The following is an 18280-nucleotide window of genomic DNA, read 5'->3' as shown; positions in this document are numbered from 1 at the left end:
ATTTCTAGTTTTTTTGGCTATTATAAATGAGATTGCTTTCTTGATTTCTTTTTCAGCTAGTTTGCCATTGGTATAAAGAAATGCCACTGATGGTTGTATGTTGATTTTGTATCTTATGACTTTTCTGAATTCACTTATTAGTTCCGACAGTTGTATTGTGGTATTCTCAGGGTTTTCCATATATAAGATCATGTCAGCTGCAAACAGAAATAACTTAATCTCTTGCTTTCCAATTTGGATGCTGTTCATTTCTTTCTGTTGCCTAATTTCTCTGGCTAGGACTTCCAGTGCCATGTTGAATAAGGGTGGCGAAAATGGGCATCTTTCTCTTGTTCAAGTTCTTTGAGGAAAAGTTTTCAACATTTTCCATTCACTATGATATTAGCTGTGGGTTTGTCATATTGGCCTTTATTGTGTTGAGGTATTTTCCTTCTATACCTAATTTACAGACAATTTTTATCCTGAAGGGATGTTGTATTTTATCAAATGCTTTTTCTGCATCTATCGAGATCATGTGTTTTTTTTTTTTGCTTGCATTCTGTTCATATGATGTATCACATTTATTGATTTGCACACATTGAACCATCCTTGCATTCCTGAGATAAATCCTACTTGATCATGGTGTATAATCTTTTTGATGTGCTGTTGTATTTGGTTTGCTAGTATTTCGTTGAAGATGTTTGCATCTATGTTCATCAGGAATATTAACCTGTAGATTTTTGTTGTTGTTGTGTCCTTGTCTGGTTTTGGTATCAGGGTAGTTCTGGCCTTGTGGAATACATTTGGAAGAATTCATTCCCCTTCAATTTTATTTATTTACTTATTTTTATTATACTTCAAGTTCTAGGGTACAACGTGCAGGTTTGTTACATAGGTATATATGTGCCATGTTGGTTTGCTGCACCCATCAACTCATCATTTACATTAGGTATTTCTCCTAATGCTCTCTCTCCCCACGTCCCCCACCCCCAACAGGCCCCAGTGTGTGATGTTCCCCACCCTGTGTCCAAGTGTTCTCATTGTTCAGTTCCCACCTATGAGTGAGAATATGCAGTGTTTGGTTTTCTGTCCTTGTGATAGTTTGCTCAGAATGATGGTTTCCAGCTTCATCCATGTCCCTGCAAAGGACATGAACTCATCCTTTTTTATGGTTGCATAGTATTCCATGGTATATGTGTGCCACATTTTTTTAATCCATTCTATCATTGATGGACATTTGGGTTGGTTCCAAGTCTTTGCTATTGTGAATAGTGCCACAATAAACATACATGTGCATGTGTCTTTATAGTAGCATGATTTATAATCCTTTGGGTATATACCCAGTAATGGGATGGCTGGGTCAAATGGTATTTCTAGTTCTAGGTCCTTGAGGAATCGCCACACTGTCTTCCACAATAGTTGAACTAATTTACACTCCCACCAACAGTGTAAAAACATTCTTATTTCTCTACATCCTCTCCAGCATCTGTTGTTTCCTGGCTTTTTAATGATTGCCATTCTAACTGGTGTGAGATGGTATCTCATTGTGGTTTTGATTTGCATTTCTCTGATGACCAGTGATGATTAGCATTTTTTCATATGTCTGTTGGCTGCATAAATGTCTTTTGAGAAGTATCTGTTCATATCCTTTGCCCACTTTTAGATGGGGTTGTTTTTTTCTTATAAATTTGTTTAAGTGCTTTGTAGATTCTGGATATTAGCCCTTTGTCAGATGGGTAGATTGCAAAAATTTTCTCCCATTCTGTAGGCTGCCTGTTCACTCTGATGGTAGTCTTTTGCTGTGCAGAAGCTCTTTAGTTTAATTAGATCCCATTTGTCAATTTTGGCTTGTGTTACCATTGCTTTTGGTGTTTTAGTCATGAAGTCTTTATTCTATGCCTATGTCCTGAATGGTATTGCCTAGGTTTTCTTCTAGGGATTTTATGGTTTTAAGTCTAAGATTTAAGTCTTTAATCCATCTTGAATTAATTTTTGTATAAGGTGTAAGAAAAGGATCCTGTTTCAGCTTTCTACATATGGCTAGCCAGTTTTCCCAGCACCATTTATTAAATAGGGAATCCTTTCCCCATTGCTTGTTTTTGTCAGGTTTGTCAAAGATCAGATGGTTGTAGATGTATGGTGTTATTTCTGAGGCCTCTGTTCTGTTCCATTGGTCCATATCTGTGTTTTGGTACCAGTACCATGCTGTTTTGGTTACTGTAGCCTTGTAGTATAGTTTGAAGTCAGGTAGCGGGATGCCTCCAGTTTTGTTCTTTTTGCTTAGGATTGTCTTGGCAATGTGGTCTCTTTTTTGGTTCCATAGGAACTTTAAAGTAGTTTTTTCCATTTCTGTGAAGAAAGTCATCGGTAGCTTGATGGGGATGGCATTGAATCTATAAATTGCCTTGGGCAGTATGGCCATTTTCATGATATTGATTCTTCCTAACCATGAGCATGGAATGTTCTTCCATTTATTTGTGTCCTCTTTTATTTCATTGAGCAGTGGTTTGTAGTTCTCCTTGAAGAGGTCCTTCACATCCCTTGTAAGTTGGATTCCTAAATATTTTATTCTCTTTGTAGCAGTTGTGAATGGGAGTTCACTCATGATTTGGCCCTCTGTCTGTTATTGGTGTATAGGAATGCTTGTGATTTTTGCACATTGAGCAGATTGTTCAGTTTCCGTATAGTTGTGCGGTTTTGAGTGAGTTTCTTAATCCTGAGTTCTAATTTGATTGCACTGTGGTCTGAGAGAGAGTTTGTTGTGATTTTTGTTCTTTTACATTTGCTGAGGAGCGCTTTACTTCCAACTCTGTGGTCAATTTTGGAATACGTGCGATGTGGTGCTGAGAAGAATGTGTATTCTGTTGATTTAGAGTAGAGAGTTCTGTAGATGTCTATTAGTTCTGCTTGGTGCAGAGCTGAGTTCAGTTCCTGTATATCCTTGTTAACCTGTCTTGTCGATCTGTCTAATATTGACAGTGGGGTGTTAAAGTCTCCCATTATTATTGTGTGGGAGTCTAAGTCTCTTCGTAGGTCTCTAAGGACTTGCTTTATGAATCTGGGTGCTCTTGTATTGGGTGCATATATATTTAGGATAGTTAGCTCTTCTTGTTGAATTGATCCCTTTACCATTATGTAATGGCCTTCTTTGTCTTTTTCGATCTTTGTTGGTTTAAAGTCTGTTTTATCAGAGACTAGCATTGCAATCCCCGCTTTTTTTTTTTTTCTTTCCATTTGCTTGGTAGATCTTCCTCCATCCCTTCATTTTGAGCCTATGTGTGTCTCTGCATGTGAGATTGGTCTCCTGAGTACAGGACACTGATGGGTCTTGACTATCCAGTTTGCCAGTCTGTGTCTTTTAATTGGGGCATTTAGCCCATTTACATTTAAAGTTAATATTGTTATGTGTGAATTTGATCCTGTCATTATTATGTTAGCTGGTTATTTTGCCCATTAATTGATGCAGTTTCTTCATAGCATTGATGGTCTTTACACTTTGGCATGTTTTTGCAGTGGCTGGTACAAGTTATTCCTTTCCATATTTAGTGTTTCCTTCAGGAGCTCTTGTAAGGCAGGCCTGGTGGTGACAAAATCTCTCAGCATGTGCTTGCCTGTAAAGGTTTTTATTTCTCCTTCACTTATGAAGCTTAGTTTGGCTGGATATGAAATTCTGGATTGAAAATTCTTTTCTTTAAGAATGTTGAATATTGGTCCCCACTCTCTTCTGGCTTGTAGGGTTTCTGCTGAGAGATCCACTGTTACTCTGATGGGTTTCCCTTTGTGGGTAACCCGACCTTTCTCTCTGGCTGCCCTTAATATTTTTTCCTTCATTTCAACCTAGGTGAATCTGACAATTATATGTCTTGGGGTTGCTCTTCTTGAGGAGTACCTTTTGGTGTTCTCTGTATTTCCTGAATTTGAATGTTGGCTTGCCTTGCTAGGTTGGGGAAGTTCTCCTGGATAATATCCTGCAGAGTGTTTTCCAACTTGGTTCCATTTTTCCTGTCACTTTCAGGTACACCAATCAAACGTAGATTTGGTCTTTTCACATAGTCTCATATTTCTTGGAGGCTTTGCTCATTTCTTTTTACTCTTTTTTTTCTAATCTTGTCTTCTTGCTTTATTTCATTAATTTGATCTTCAATCACTGATATCCTTTCTTCTACTTGATTGAATCAGCTATTGAAGCTTGTGCATGCATCACGTAGTTCTCATGCCATGGTTTTCAGCTCCATCAGGTCATTTAAGGTCTTCTCTACGCTGTTTATTCTAGTTAGTCATTCGTCTAACCTTTTTTCAAGGTTTTTAGCTTCCTTGTGATGGGTTAGAACATGCTTTTTTAACTCGGAGAAGTTTATTATTACCGACCTTCTGAAGCCTACTTCTGTCAACTCGTCAAACTCATTCTCCATCCATCTTTGTTCCATTACTGGCAAGGAGCTGTGATCTTTTGGTGGAGAAGTGGCGCTCTGGTTTTTAGAATTTTCAGCTTTTCTGCTTTGGTTTCTCCCCATCTTTGTGGTTTTATCTTCCTTTGGTCTTTGATGTTGGTGACCTATAGATGTGGTTTTGGTGTGGATGTCCTTTTTATTGATGTTGATGCTACTGCTTTCTGTTTGTTAGTTATCCTTCTAACAGGTCCCTCAGCTGCAGGTCTTTTAGAGTTTGCTGGGGGTCCACTCCAGACCCTGTTTTCCTGGGTATCACCAGTGGAGGCTGCAGAACAGCAAATATTGCAGAACTGAAAATATTGCTGTCTGATCCTTCCTCTGGAAGCTTCGTCCCAGAGGGGCACCCAGCTGTATGAGGTGTCTATCGGCCCCTACTGGGAGGTGTCTCCCAGTTACGCTATACGGGGGTCAGGGACCCACTTGAGGAGGCAGTCTGTTCGTTCTCAGAGCTCAAACGCCGTGCTGGGAGAACCACTGCTCTCTCCAGGGCTGTCAGACAGGGATGTTTAAGTCTGCAGAAGTTTCTGCTGCCTTTTTTCAGCTGTGCCCTACCCACAGAGGTGGCGTTTATAGAGGCAGTAGGCCTTGTTGAGCTGCAGTGGGCTCCACCCAGTTCGAGCTTCCTTGCCACTTTGTTTACCTACTCAAGCCTCAGCAATGGTGGACACCCCTCCCCCCACCAGGCTGCAGCCTCGCAGGTCGATCTCAGACTGCTGCACTGGCTATGAGCAAGGCTCTGTGGGAATGGGACCCACCAAACCAGGCACAGGAGAGAATCTCCTGGTCTGCCAGTTGCTAAGACCATGGGAAAAGCACAGTATTTGGGCAGGAGTGTCCCCTTTTTCCAGGTACAGTCTGTCATGGCTTCCCTTGGCTAGGAAAGGGAAATCCCCCAACCCCTTGCACTTCCCAGGTGAAGTGACACCCCGCACTGCTTCAGCTCACCCTCTGTGGGCTGCACCCACTGTCCAACCAGTCCCAGTGAGATGATCCAGGTACCTCAGTTGAAAATGCAGAAATCACCCATCTTCTGTGTCTGTCACGCTGGGAGCTGCAGACCAGAGCTGTTCCTATTCGGCCATCTTGGAACGGACCTGAAAGGCTTGGTCCCAACCACCAAGGAAATACTTTACGGCTCCCACAGTGTCTATTCTCTGGTCTGTGCACAGACTTGTGTGGCTCTTACGGAGGATCCTTTAAGCTAAGTTGCTGGCCAGTTCCTTTCCACGTTGCTGAGAGCTCCCCGCTTCAATTTTAAAAAACAGTTTGAGAAGAATTTGTGTTAGTTCTTTAAAAGTTTGGTGGAATTTGCCATGAAGCCATCTGGTTTTTATTTTATAGAAGAAGAAACTGAGGCAAAGAGTAGAAAATAACCTGCTCAAGATCATGCAGGCAACAGGCAGCAGAACCAGGCTTTGAAACTGGGAAGTCTAATTCCAAAGTTTCTGAGAATAGGGAGGTAAAAACTTAAATGAGTTTAATGTCCATAATGTAGGAGCAAGGTAAAGAATATGAGACCAAAGTTGAGGTAAAGGTAAGATAAAAGAAGCAGGGGAGATCTCCCCTTTCCATAGAGAAGCATCAACTGTTTGCCAACATTTCCATGAAATGTGTGTATTAGCTACATACATTTTCAAAAACAAAGAAAAAAAAAACTCTTCAAAAAAAAAAAAAAGTCTAAAGACCACTGCATGTATACTGACCATACCAACATTACTAAATGTTAACATTTAAAGCATTATACCTTCTAGAATAAGAATTAAGTAAATTATAGTTACAATTAGATATATTTTCTCATTATTCCCTGTGTTGATTCCTATTTTCTCTTTTCTAATTATAGTTTCAGAGAGAAAATTAACCTCAATTTGTTTTTTTTGTTTTTTGTTTTTTTTTTACCTCTTTGATTTTTTTCTGTTAAAAATGTCAAGTCTTGTCCATAGCTAGGGAATAAACACTTCACAAAAGTTCTAATTCTCATTCTCTTCTGAAGGAAGATCGCATTTATTGTTAGTTTTTTTTTTTTCACATCCTTAGCAAGCTGCCTTTCTTGCCCTTAGTAGGAGAAAGATATGTCACCTTTTAAATACCTATTTCTAAAAACTGCTCTGAGTTTCCCTCCTGGAAATAGGGTGTAAAGACAAATAAGGTAAAATTTTAGTCACATACATGTGCTTCCTTGTAATGTCTTATTTTAAAAAGAAAGGAATAGTTTTCTTCTCTTCTTTTAAAAGAGACTACCTTCATTGCATAAAAGGCACTATACCTAATCTTTGATTTCTTAAAATTTTTCTTGGTTTACCTGTAGCAACCTGATCATTTTAAATGCTTCCTTCCAATAATGATTGTTTTCCAGAGGCACATAATGAATAACTTTAAATAAAAAACAAACTTATTTTATTTTTCAAAATAAATGTAAAATGGTATTTTACAGCATGAGACAGGATTGTTCTTTGTCTTCATCCAGGAGAAAAATGATTTAATTCAAATTTTTATATATTGTACTCAAATTGTTCAACATATTAAAATGTCTTCACTTTGCCTTTTCTCTGAAGACCAAAAATTACTGTGCTCTTAAATTATCACAACATTCACAGTTCCAATCACTTCAAAGTTGCATCAAGCATCATTATGCCCCTAAGGGAAAATTGAACTAATGCCCTCAAACAGCACAGTGTTTATTAACTTAAGTAACCATTATAAATGAGAATGGAATCAGGCAATCTATTACAGGAGCATTTGGTATTGAGCCGATAAGGGCTCTCACATAATTACATATATAAAGATATAGTAATCATTTTTATTAAGGGTGGTGCAAAAGTAATTGCGGTTTTTGCCATTGAAAAACCACAAATTACTGCAAAAACTGCAATTACTTTTTGTTCCAACCTAATATATGTTGTTAGAATGATGATATTTCCATAAGAAATATACCCAAATCTTATGCCAAGATCTTTTTTCCTGTCTTCCCAAATAGTAGATACTCAAAAATCAACATCTGATGCAAAACTCAATGTACTGAATATTTCAGCTTCCTATTAATATGAGCTGTGTGAATTCTATATTCATAGTCCATGCGATTTTGTCTTAGAAAGAATTAAAATACTTTAATGTGTTTAGGACTTTTTAACAATGTACACTATTATATTTTACCCTGAATTGGGTAATACTCATTTCTTATCCAGAATTGGGTAGTATTTTTATATCAGAAGCTGAATTAGGCATATATTAACTCCATTTGACAGGAAACCAAGCCCCAAAGAGGTTAAATGCTCCATCCTGTTGGGATTCAGGCTGGGTATAGAACCTAAAACTGCAGAAGACATTTGGCAACATAATAAGCCTATTAGGATTAAGTGACATGAGTTATTGGAGGAAAAACATAGAAAATGATTGCATTCCTTTTGAGATAAAGCATATATTATGTAAGTTTAGTCACTTATAGCTATTTGTAGTGTATTGAATTTTTTTTTTTTTTTTTTTTTGAGACAGAGTCTCGCTCTGTCGGCCAGGCTGGAGTGCAGTGGCATGATCTCGGCTCACTGCAACCTCTGCCTCCTGGGCTCAAGCAATTCTCCTGCCTCAGCCTCCCGAGTAGCTGGGATTACAAGGGTGTGCCACCGCACCCAGCTAATTTTGTATTTTCAGTAGTGACACAGTTTCACCATGTTGGTCAGGCTGGTCTTGAACTCCTGACCTCAGGTAATCCACCCACCTCAGCCTCCCAAAGTGCTGGGATTACAGGCATGAGCCACCATGCCTGGCCTATTGAATATTTTTAAAAATGTATAATAATTGTTATCCATCTCTCCATTACTCTCAGATTCCCTGATTTTCCTATGACCAAATGTGTACATGTGTTGATTTTTTGTGTTTATTACATAGCCTGCTAAAGTCTGTGAAATAACTTTCTTTCGTCTCTGTTTTAGTTTGTGCCATTCAGGGATTATATTGACAGAAGTGGAAACCACATACTGAGCATGGCTAGATTGGCTAAAGATGTCCTAGCTGAGATCCCTGAGCAGTTTCTCTCCTATATGAGAGCCCGAGGAATCAAGCCATCACCTGCGCCTCCCCCATACACCCCACCTACACATGTGTTACAGACTCAAATATGACTGTGCTCTGAAATGCTAATGTCAACTACAAATCAAAAGTGCTGAGTTAATGCTTTGTGCCTGGTGCTCTGTAATGAACCAGGCAATGAGATAGTTTTCTCAGTTTGGTTTCAGCAGTTAATGTGCTTTCTTGGATCCAAATTTAAATATCTTCCTAAACCAAAACTGTAAATATGGTTGTTGCATGAGCAACAGAAAAAATTGTTTAAATGCTTGAAGCAAAGTATGGATGTCTTCTCTAAATCTTTCTTTCTTTTTTTTTTTAACAGAAACAGCTAATTTCCAATGTATTGTTGGGAAAAAGCACAAACTGTGTTTTTAACTCAAATATTGTCTTCGACTGCTATGTGTATAGGAAAGCAGTCTCTGTATCAATGTTTACATGTTACTACTTTTTAAATTTCAATACTTTTATAACTGTTCTTAAAAATAAGAGTTTTAAATACTGAATCCTTTGTCTTCTAAATTGCAATAGCTATAATCACAAGAGCAATATCTCTTTGAATGACTGTCTGGACAAACACAATTGCAAATAAGGGAAGGGAAAAATGCTTTTCTATTTTTCAGTAACTGGATTGTCTTAAGAAACTACATCTGCTTAATAAACAATTTCTCAGCAATGTTTGCTGGGTATGGGAGTTTAAGCCCGGCAGATGTGTCTCCTGGTTGAACATGCATTTTTCATGGAGTTTGGGTTCTAAATTTAGACTGCAGTTGGTTTGTATTTTGTAACACTAAGTAGAAATTATAAAAAGTCAAACATTGTGATCTATAAATGCACAGAAAATACTTTGTAAAAAGTAGCATCCTTATATAATAATGCTATTTAGAAAGACTGAAACCAAGACTATTTAACTGTGAACTATGTAGCAGATGTTTTAAACTTTTTATTCCATTATATCTTGTCTAGATATTTTAATTCAAAGGGATACTGGCTCTCTTGATCGGAATTTCTTGTTATCACCATTCCACGTTGCCACACAAGGTGCACAGGCTGGAAGTCTTTTGTGAAATTCCCAGTTAAATATATACAACTATGTGACTTAGTGCACAACACATTTGTGAAATAACCTACTCCTATATACTGACCTGCCTGTCCACGAATAATTGTAAAGGGTTTTTGCATGTACAGTTTTTACAAGAATTACAGTTTTGTGAAGTTGTGTCTAAATTAAAGCATTTCTTTAGAACAAATGGCCTTAAATTCTCACGGAATTCCTGGAAATGATTGTGAATTGCCTTCAAATAATAGAAAAGTGTATTTATTTGTGTGTGTGTGTGTGTCAAAAATGTAACTGCTTTATAATATTTTTTCCTTACCTATATATTCTATTTAATACTTGGTTTATTTCTACTGTACATTGTTTTCTTTGTCCCAAGTTGACCTAGGGTGACTTTTATAAGCATGAAACTATTTTACTGGAAAGAAAAATATATACATCCACATATCTAACAGTATCAATGTTATATAACTATGTAATAATTGTTGATTTTTAATTATGTATTAAAATCTTTAAATCATAACTATTTGCTTTGTACGTTTCATGTATGAATGACAATAGTTTGATGATTTCCTTTACTGATCTTAAATATTTATGCCACTACAGTGTATTACCTACAGATTTTTAAATTTAGCTTTATTTATCAACCCAAAAAACAAATAAATAAGATCAATATTCTTTTCTTCTTGTCAAACATCAGTTATTTTTTTGAACTGTCCAGAGAAAACAAAAGTTGTACAATTCCTTGTATAAATAATAGATTGCTCAAACCTAGTGGGAGTAAATGGCCAGGAATGAAGCAATTTCTCTTTACAAATGTTATCATTTATATGGCTGAGAATGATAATCAGAAACTTATGTGAAGTTAATGCTACATGTAAGATTAGAAAATACGTAAATCTTGTGTATTCATTGCAAAAATGTAGTAAACCAAGATTGGAGGGATTAAGTGATGTATCCAAGACTATATAACTAGAGAAGAGCTCATTACCATCTTGGAAATATTTGTTATAACTTACATTTTGTTAGTTGCTATTAGGTGCTATGCAATAGGAAATCCCAGAGACATGCTTCATAAAGGAAAACACATAGTAATAGTTGTACATACAAACTGGTTATCAGGGATATTTACACTTACGGTAATGAGCAACAAGAAAGGTATATATTGAGAAGGGGTGATAGATTCAAGTCATTAAACCTGCTGCAGAAGTCAGTCTTCAAGTGGTGCCCTCAAGAACCCCAGAGACTTTGGGCACTGTCCTATCTTTGTAATCTCATTTCCTTCCTCTCCAATGAAAGCCTCTAATTATCATTTGAACTCCAGGATGAACTCTTGGTGTTATTTTCAAGTATCTCCATCATCTGAATTTGCCCAGTTATGTAATACCAATTCCTATTGCTTCTCAAATTAATATTAAAACTAACCAGGCCTGCCTCATTCCTTTTCCGCAACCACTCCGAGTTTACCTGGAGTCTGTCTATAGTGTTCATACTCTGTTCTCTCATCAAGCCCTCTTCTCTGGTCTTTACCTGAGGATATCCTTTGCACTTTCCAACTCAAGCCCCAGCTCCTCTGAACCTTGTTCTTTAAAACTTCAATGCTAACAATAATCAGTACTTTCTATGAGCTCATCTTTGTATTGCATTTCAGCATATTAATTGCCTCAGATTATTTCTAAACTATTTTATTTTATCTGGGGCATCTTGTCTCTCCATCCTTATGGAATAGTATTTAATGGCACCTGGTAAATTTTTAAAGCTCCCCAGTTTATTGTAATGTGTAGCTAGAGTGTGAAATTGCTGCAACTAAAGACTATTGGATGACTCAATTACTACTTTTTAAATTATCTCTTCCAACATGCAATATCGAGAGAAAAGAAGAGGTGGATATGACTCTGGTGGTGGTGAATGTGGGAAGAGAGTGGATTTGGGATTAGGGTTGGAGCATAGGTTATTTTGTTTTTCAGGCTCAGGGAAGATAATAGATGGACTCATGCACTTTTTTTTTTTATTACTGTGTCATCATCAACTTAGGAAATAAAGACCTCTCACAAAGATGAGGTGGATGTGGTTATTTCTTAGAAGACCTGAAATGCCAAAGATTTTACTGAAGAGCATGCCTTTTTCTTTCAGCTTGCGTGAATTTTATTTAATGACTTTGTGTTACATATAGCTGTAATTGAGACAAAGTGGCCAGATTCTTCATAAAAACTCAGAGTAAAGAATAATTTTTGTGATTAGCACAAATCAGATACATTTACTAATAAATAAGCTGCTGAGTTGAGGATCAAATAGATTGAGTGCATGTGGAGTGTTACCTATGAAGATGGAAAAGATGGAAATCTACTTGCAAAAAGTCACACTTGTGCAGAGCTTTCTCATCAGTGTGTTACAGATGATTTACAGATTTATGCCTTGCAGATGGGCTACAGGTGTGCACCTTGGGGTGGTGTATAGTGCCTGGGGTAATTGGAGCTCCCAGCCTCCATCATGTTCATTGGCTAACCTCAGGATATTTTAACAAACATTCCCATTTTTAATGTGTGTCTTGAAATGTAGGGAAGCACTGCATTACAGAGATTATTTCCTAAATAACCTCTGCTTACAGCCAGTTCCACCTTCATTTTTTCTACTTATATGCCCTACGATATTTATACTGAAATTAAATTGAAAGAGTATTCACATACAATTCCATGGCAAATGTATTGTAGCAAATAAACTTCAGAGGAATAAGACATGAATGTCCTTGCATTTTTCACCACCTTCTTCATAAACATCCTACCACTCACGAAAATAGGTGTATCATCAGATGACCCAGAGGACATCAAAGCGTAGAGTCAAAGGGATTCAACCTTGTTATTTCCTTAGAATAAACACTGTTCTAGAAGACATCCTCTTCTCCCAACCATGACTGTTCCCCTCACCCCACTTTCCTACCAAGTATCACTCTATTTGCTCTGTTGATACCTGAGCGTCATTTAACAATAGGCAGTCCTTCATTTTACAAACTATTGGGATGTGCTGAGATCAGATACACGGATCTTAAGAATAAGCACATTTTAAAAACATATTGACATAATTCTTTGCACCAAAATTTTTTCTAAAAAAACCTTTCTTCATCATATCTTAGTTACTTAGGTATGACTTTGATAAGGGAAGACTTGGTATATCATGAACATGCACAAGTTTTAAACGGCTTCCTTAGGAAATGTGAAAGGGGAAATAGAGAAGCAACAAACAAGTATTTTCTCATGAGTTATTGCCTAAGCTATGTTTATAACTCTTAAGAGATGATTATCCTAAGCAATGCTCACCTCCTAGATTTCAGGTTTTTAACCTGGAATGAGGAGATACCAAGTAGAAGTACTTTCCCAACACAGAGTAGCCCATAACAAAATTATTTTTCTTTAAATTGATATGACCCCCACCCCCAGCTACCATTTTACTGTATAGAATCTTACTTCTTTGTCTCTAAGCAAAATATGCTAACATAATACACAGAAGTCTCCAAATATAATGTCTATACTAAGATTATCTCAAAGACATAATAGTTCTAATTCATATCACAAACTTTTGAGCAGTATTTGAGGCAATATATTCACACCTCATCAGTCAGGGTTATTGCTTACCTCATACTTCATCAGCACACCCCCAACCCCAACAGCTAACCTTGCTCTTATTTTCTGGCTTTAGAGATGCTCTGAATGTCAAACTCTGAGAGGAAAATGACCACTGAACTCTGACTATGGAAAGAGCAAAAGCAAACTGATCGAAAGATTTGCTCATTTAGTTTTAAAGCAATAGTGACCATGACCTCATGATTTTCTCACCACAAAGTTATTCACCAATTTAATTTCCATGAAACAGGCCTGCTGGGCATTCCTAATGTATTTAGATAAGCTGATTTCATACAGATGGGATTTGCTATCAGTCAAATGGGTGGATGTCATTGACCTCACAAATTAGGGGGAAGGATAAAGGAAGGAATATGCTTAGGGTTGGCTTAAAAATAGCTACTCTTTCAAAGATCTTTCTCTCCTTATGAAATAAATGAATTAAAAGAAGTTATAAGACTGGTTCAGTAATTTTGACAGAGAACAACCAGTTTGTTAACCCTTACAATTTCTGCAAGATAATGCTGACAAGAAACAATAAATAATGCACCTTTCAAATCTTTAAAACAATATTTAAATCAGAATCTGCTTAAAATTCACAAAATTTTACTATCACTTTCAACCATGGCAAAAGGCATACACTGTAATTTAGACATGGGCAAATTTGTCATGCACTTTAGATGACAATTCTGCACCAGATTTCAAAGAAAGTGGGTGATCCCTGAGAAAACAAAATGACAATCACTAGAAACCACTTTGCATCATCAAGCAACAACTTTTAAATCCCTAAACATTATATGGACCTAACCCATCTCCCTTAAAAAAAAGTCTGTGACATCGGCTTGCAAATCTTGAGATAGGTCATCAGATTAGTCTTGAAAGATGAATTATAGGTGCCTTTTATCTTTCATTTATTTTCTGAGGATATCCTGTTGTTTTCAATCAATGATTTGAAACCTAAATTAAAAGTTACATGTGTGCTTGGTATCTTCTATAGGCTGGTTATGAAATTGCTAGACGCTTCAATGGAAGGAGTGTGACTCATCAATGTGCCATCTACTAAGAGTCAAAAAACCTTAGTTTCCATCTTGGTAGTCTGATTTTGGGAAAATACAACATAAATGTCCAAACTTGATTTTTACCATTCATATAATATGGTGATATTTCCAAGGGTCCTTAAAGCACCCTCCTTCTGCAATTCTCTCAGAAGAACAGAGGTTAACTTTAACTGGAGCACTGGCAACTTGGTTGTTTAATAGTGAGGTGGGACGAGGTTATGAAATAAACTTAATATACTGAGCTATCAAAGTACCTTCTTACAGATTGTGCAGCAAGTGAAACATCTCAGTTTCTTCTTTTACAAGGCAGGTTATTAACTTAGCCATTACTCTTAGTCCTGTATTCTCACCACATTTCTTTTTACCTGAGAACCCAGAGGATATGGGAAAGATGGGAGAAAATGCCAAAGTCCCATTGCTCTGTGAAGGTCTTTGAAACTATTTGTATGCCCCCATGCTTGTGGCACTGAAAAGAGGGCTTCTGGACACACACTCCCTAGTGATCATCTGGATGCTCAGCAGGTGTTTTCTCTATTCTCCTTAAGCACTTGTCTGAAAAAAAATACCAAGGCTACTCAAAACAAGTGTTTCTTATTAGGTAATTTAACTTGATTGATTGCATGATCTCTGCCTCAAATGCTCATCAAACTCCCTTTACTTGGCTAGCTGCTGCTTGTTCTTCAAGTCTCCCCTTTACACGATTCCCTTATAAAGTCCTTCCTTGAAGACATGTACTGGATATAATCTCCTTGTTCTGCCTTCCCACACCACCCTGCGCTTCTCCTCCTGTCATTCATCGCATTTGTAATTCCTGGTCTGTTGGCTGTATTTCAGTTTTGCCCATGAACTTCAGGAGAGCAGGAAGCAGGCAAGTCTTGTTCACTCATCTATCTCTAACACATAACCCAGGGCCTGGCTTTCAGTAGGTCATCAATTGAATTGTGAAAGTGAATAGAATCAAAATATTGGTTACTAAGAATGTTGTATTAGTAACTTGGTATTTTAATATTTTAAGCCTGAATTTCAGTGAATTCAGATTAAGAAGATCTGTAAAATTTTAAAGCAGCACCAAACCTCACTTTTCCCTTATTTATTTTTCCCTCCTTCTAAACCAGAACTGTGAAATTGAATGAAAAGAGGCCAACAGCTTCTCTCTACCTGCTCTCAGGGATAATTACCAGAAAAATGGTCAAAAGGCTGACAGCAGCAGGGGAGAAGAGATTCATAAACCTTCAATACAATCTGATAGCCTGTTGGTCTTGACTCAGGACAGACTGAGGAGAAAGTGTTCACAAGATGCCAGGATCTTATGTCAGCTCTGAAATTTCCTTTGACTAAACATGCTAAACAAAACAATACAAAACAAAACAATAAAAAAGATTATTTTAAGCATATGTTGACCCACATTCTCCCTTAAAAAATGAAAGTGACAAGCATTTATATTTAAGTAGCGGAAAGGTATTCTAAATCCCTACCTTTGCATTTTAGCTGTGTCTGTGTGTATTTCCAAGTGGATTGTGCATGTATGCATATGAGGGTGAATACATGCCTTTGCTTATGCATGTGCCATCATATATGTGTAGGCATCAGTAAAAGTGGAGATAATAAACAAGGGCAAGGGGTACAGAAGAAATGGTAATGCTAACAAGCATTTACTGCCTTTTCTGGTGCTGATTTTATGTACCCTGGAGGAAGTACTGATGACCTGCACAGAATGTGGACAAGAATTCAGGAGGTTAGAACTTTCCAACTGCATTCGTAACAAGACGCGTTGACTTGCAAATCCTACTGTGCTAATATTTATGATTTTTAATATATTCTTACATCATCTGCTTAGCAACAAGCAAGAAGGATTTAATGAATATGAATTTGACTGTGGGAAAGGAATGTGGAGGACTGTAGTTCTTACATATTGATATTTTAGTTGGAAATTCCACCCACTAGTTGATAAGACTGAATTCCATTTAACTTTCTAAGAAGAAATGAATAAACACTCCAAATCCTACCTGCATCCCCCGTTAGATAATCTATTTTCTATAACCATTGGTATAGTAATGACTTTGGTTTAGCATTTAATCGCTTAGAAAGCACTGTCTCGCATGTAACCTTCTGTCTTCCCCTGTCAAAACTCTGCTCACTCACCAATCCTCAGCTCAAATGCTACTTTTCAACAAAGCTTTCCTGCATTCTCTTGATTACTAGAACAATCTCTCTTTTTTTTTTTTTTTTTTCCACAGCCTGTGTATCAGCATTCTACTCTGCCTCCCTAGGGGCAGACTCTGTTTGCAGTGGGGAAGTCTTATGGCCCTAACCCTGTTGAGAGTCAATCTGTCTAGTTGAGGTTAATCAACTGGTAACTTATCTGCCTAAATATATGAGTCATTCTCCTATATGACCTTTGTCAGAAATAAAATTCAGGCTTCATCTTCCATCTGCGTTCCTCCTTTGTCCTATTTTTATTGCTTCAGAGAAGCAGGGGTGATTCCTCTGGACACTCAAAGACCCAAACCATCTCCCAAGGAGTCCCGTGCCTGCATTGTTGCTCATTATCCTGCCTGGCTCTGTGCAGCCCCCCCTTGACTAGAGGTAGTTTCCACTACCTTGCAAGATAGAATCCAGAAGCCTTAGTTTGTGTTCTCCTCTTAAAGTAGAGCCTGGGACCAAGACCTGGGTGCATGTAGTTCATTAGGAAGGCAATCTCCTGGGGCAGGAGTAAGGAACTTGGGAGAGGGAGGAAGTAGGGAAATCCACTATAAGAGTAGGTTATCAAGCTCACCACTGAAGGTAACAAAGCTCTCACTTGTCCCCTCAACTTCTGAGCATAATATGTTCCCTTCTCAGAATTGTCTCCATGAGGACCAACTGCAAGTATTTATCTTTAAGTTCCCATCTCCTGTTGGTTAGGGTTGCCTGCACTTTCCAGGCTGCCTATGTAGGCATGAGGAAAGAGCATTCGAGTTTCTATGGGATGAGAGCCTTTCCAGGGTGAAAAGTTAAAAAACTGCAGTACCTGCTTGAGGTAAGACACTATCTACAAAAATAAGTTGAAGTCAGTATGGAAGCCAGCCATGGCTGAAATGGGACATGAGGCTAAGAGAGTGAGTTGAGTCATTAGAGTCACCTGAAACACATGACCTTCAAGCCCACATTAAGCTGCCATTACCTGTATTTCCAGCGTCCTCTCCTTCCACTTCTCCTTACCACACAGAAGGCAAATTGCATTAAAGTGCATGCGGTTCTACAAATACCCCATTCCATTTCATACTTCATGCATTCCATATGCCAACTCTTTCACATTCTCACTCCTACTCAGCCTCCAAAGCCCTGCTTAGGTGTCTGTGCATAAGAATCTCTTCCTCCTTTACTTTATGTAACTTTTTAATTGAAGTAAAATATATTTAGAAGTACAAAAATTATAAGCACATTGCTTGAGGATTTTTCGCAGAGGAACATATCTAGGTGACAATTTCACAGATCAAAAATACAGCATGTTCAGCACCCTAGTATCCTGCTTTTGTCCCACCATAATCACACACGCCTCCTCAAAGTAATCACTATCTTGATTTTCATCACCATAAGTATTTTTGTCTTATTTTCAAATTTTATATAAATGGAATTATACAATTTGTATTAATTTCTGACTTCTTCCGTCCAATATTTTGTTTGTGAGATTTATCCAAGTACTTGTGCATAGCAAAATTTTTTCTCAATTCTGTTTAGTATTTCCTTGTATTAATATATTACAATTTGTTTTTCTCCTTTCATGAACATTGGGTTATTTTCAGCTTTGAATATTATGAAGAAAGCTTTATGACTAATATTGTACATTACTTTTAATAAAAATACACATCCATTGCTATTAGGTATATACCTAAAAATGCTTATTGCCTTAGAGCTTATTGGTCTGAAATTAGTATATCTAAACTCTACCTCCATCCTATTACTTTCAGTTTTTCTTATCCTTACATCTAACGTTTATTTTGGGGTGGCAGCATTTACTTGAGTTTGCACTTCTGCTTCTCTAGGAACAGGTTTTAAATTTGTAGTGGGGAGGCTTGCCTG

At 37.4% G+C, this 18280-nt stretch overlaps 1 protein-coding gene across 2 annotated transcripts in view; it reads left to right on the top strand.

Annotated features, from left to right (window-relative positions):
• Positions 1–10224, top strand: part of CPNE8 (copine 8) — a 254633-nt gene extending 244409 nt beyond the window's left edge. For both annotated transcript variants that reach the window (XM_017018852.2, NM_153634.3), the window contains exon 20: positions 8357–10224. In XM_017018852.2, coding sequence (XP_016874341.1) covers positions 8357–8545 — 189 coding nt within the window. In that variant the 3' untranslated portion in view covers positions 8546–10224. The remainder of the gene's footprint in view (positions 1–8356) is intronic.
• Positions 10225–18280: the final 8056 nt, after the last annotated feature.

This window comes from Homo sapiens, chromosome 12 (assembly GCF_000001405.40).
Source record: "Homo sapiens chromosome 12, GRCh38.p14 Primary Assembly".
NCBI classification, from domain to species: domain Eukaryota; kingdom Metazoa; phylum Chordata; class Mammalia; order Primates; family Hominidae; genus Homo; species Homo sapiens.
Note: the sequence above shows the minus strand (reverse complement) of the source record. Positions and strands in the feature narration are given on the sequence as shown.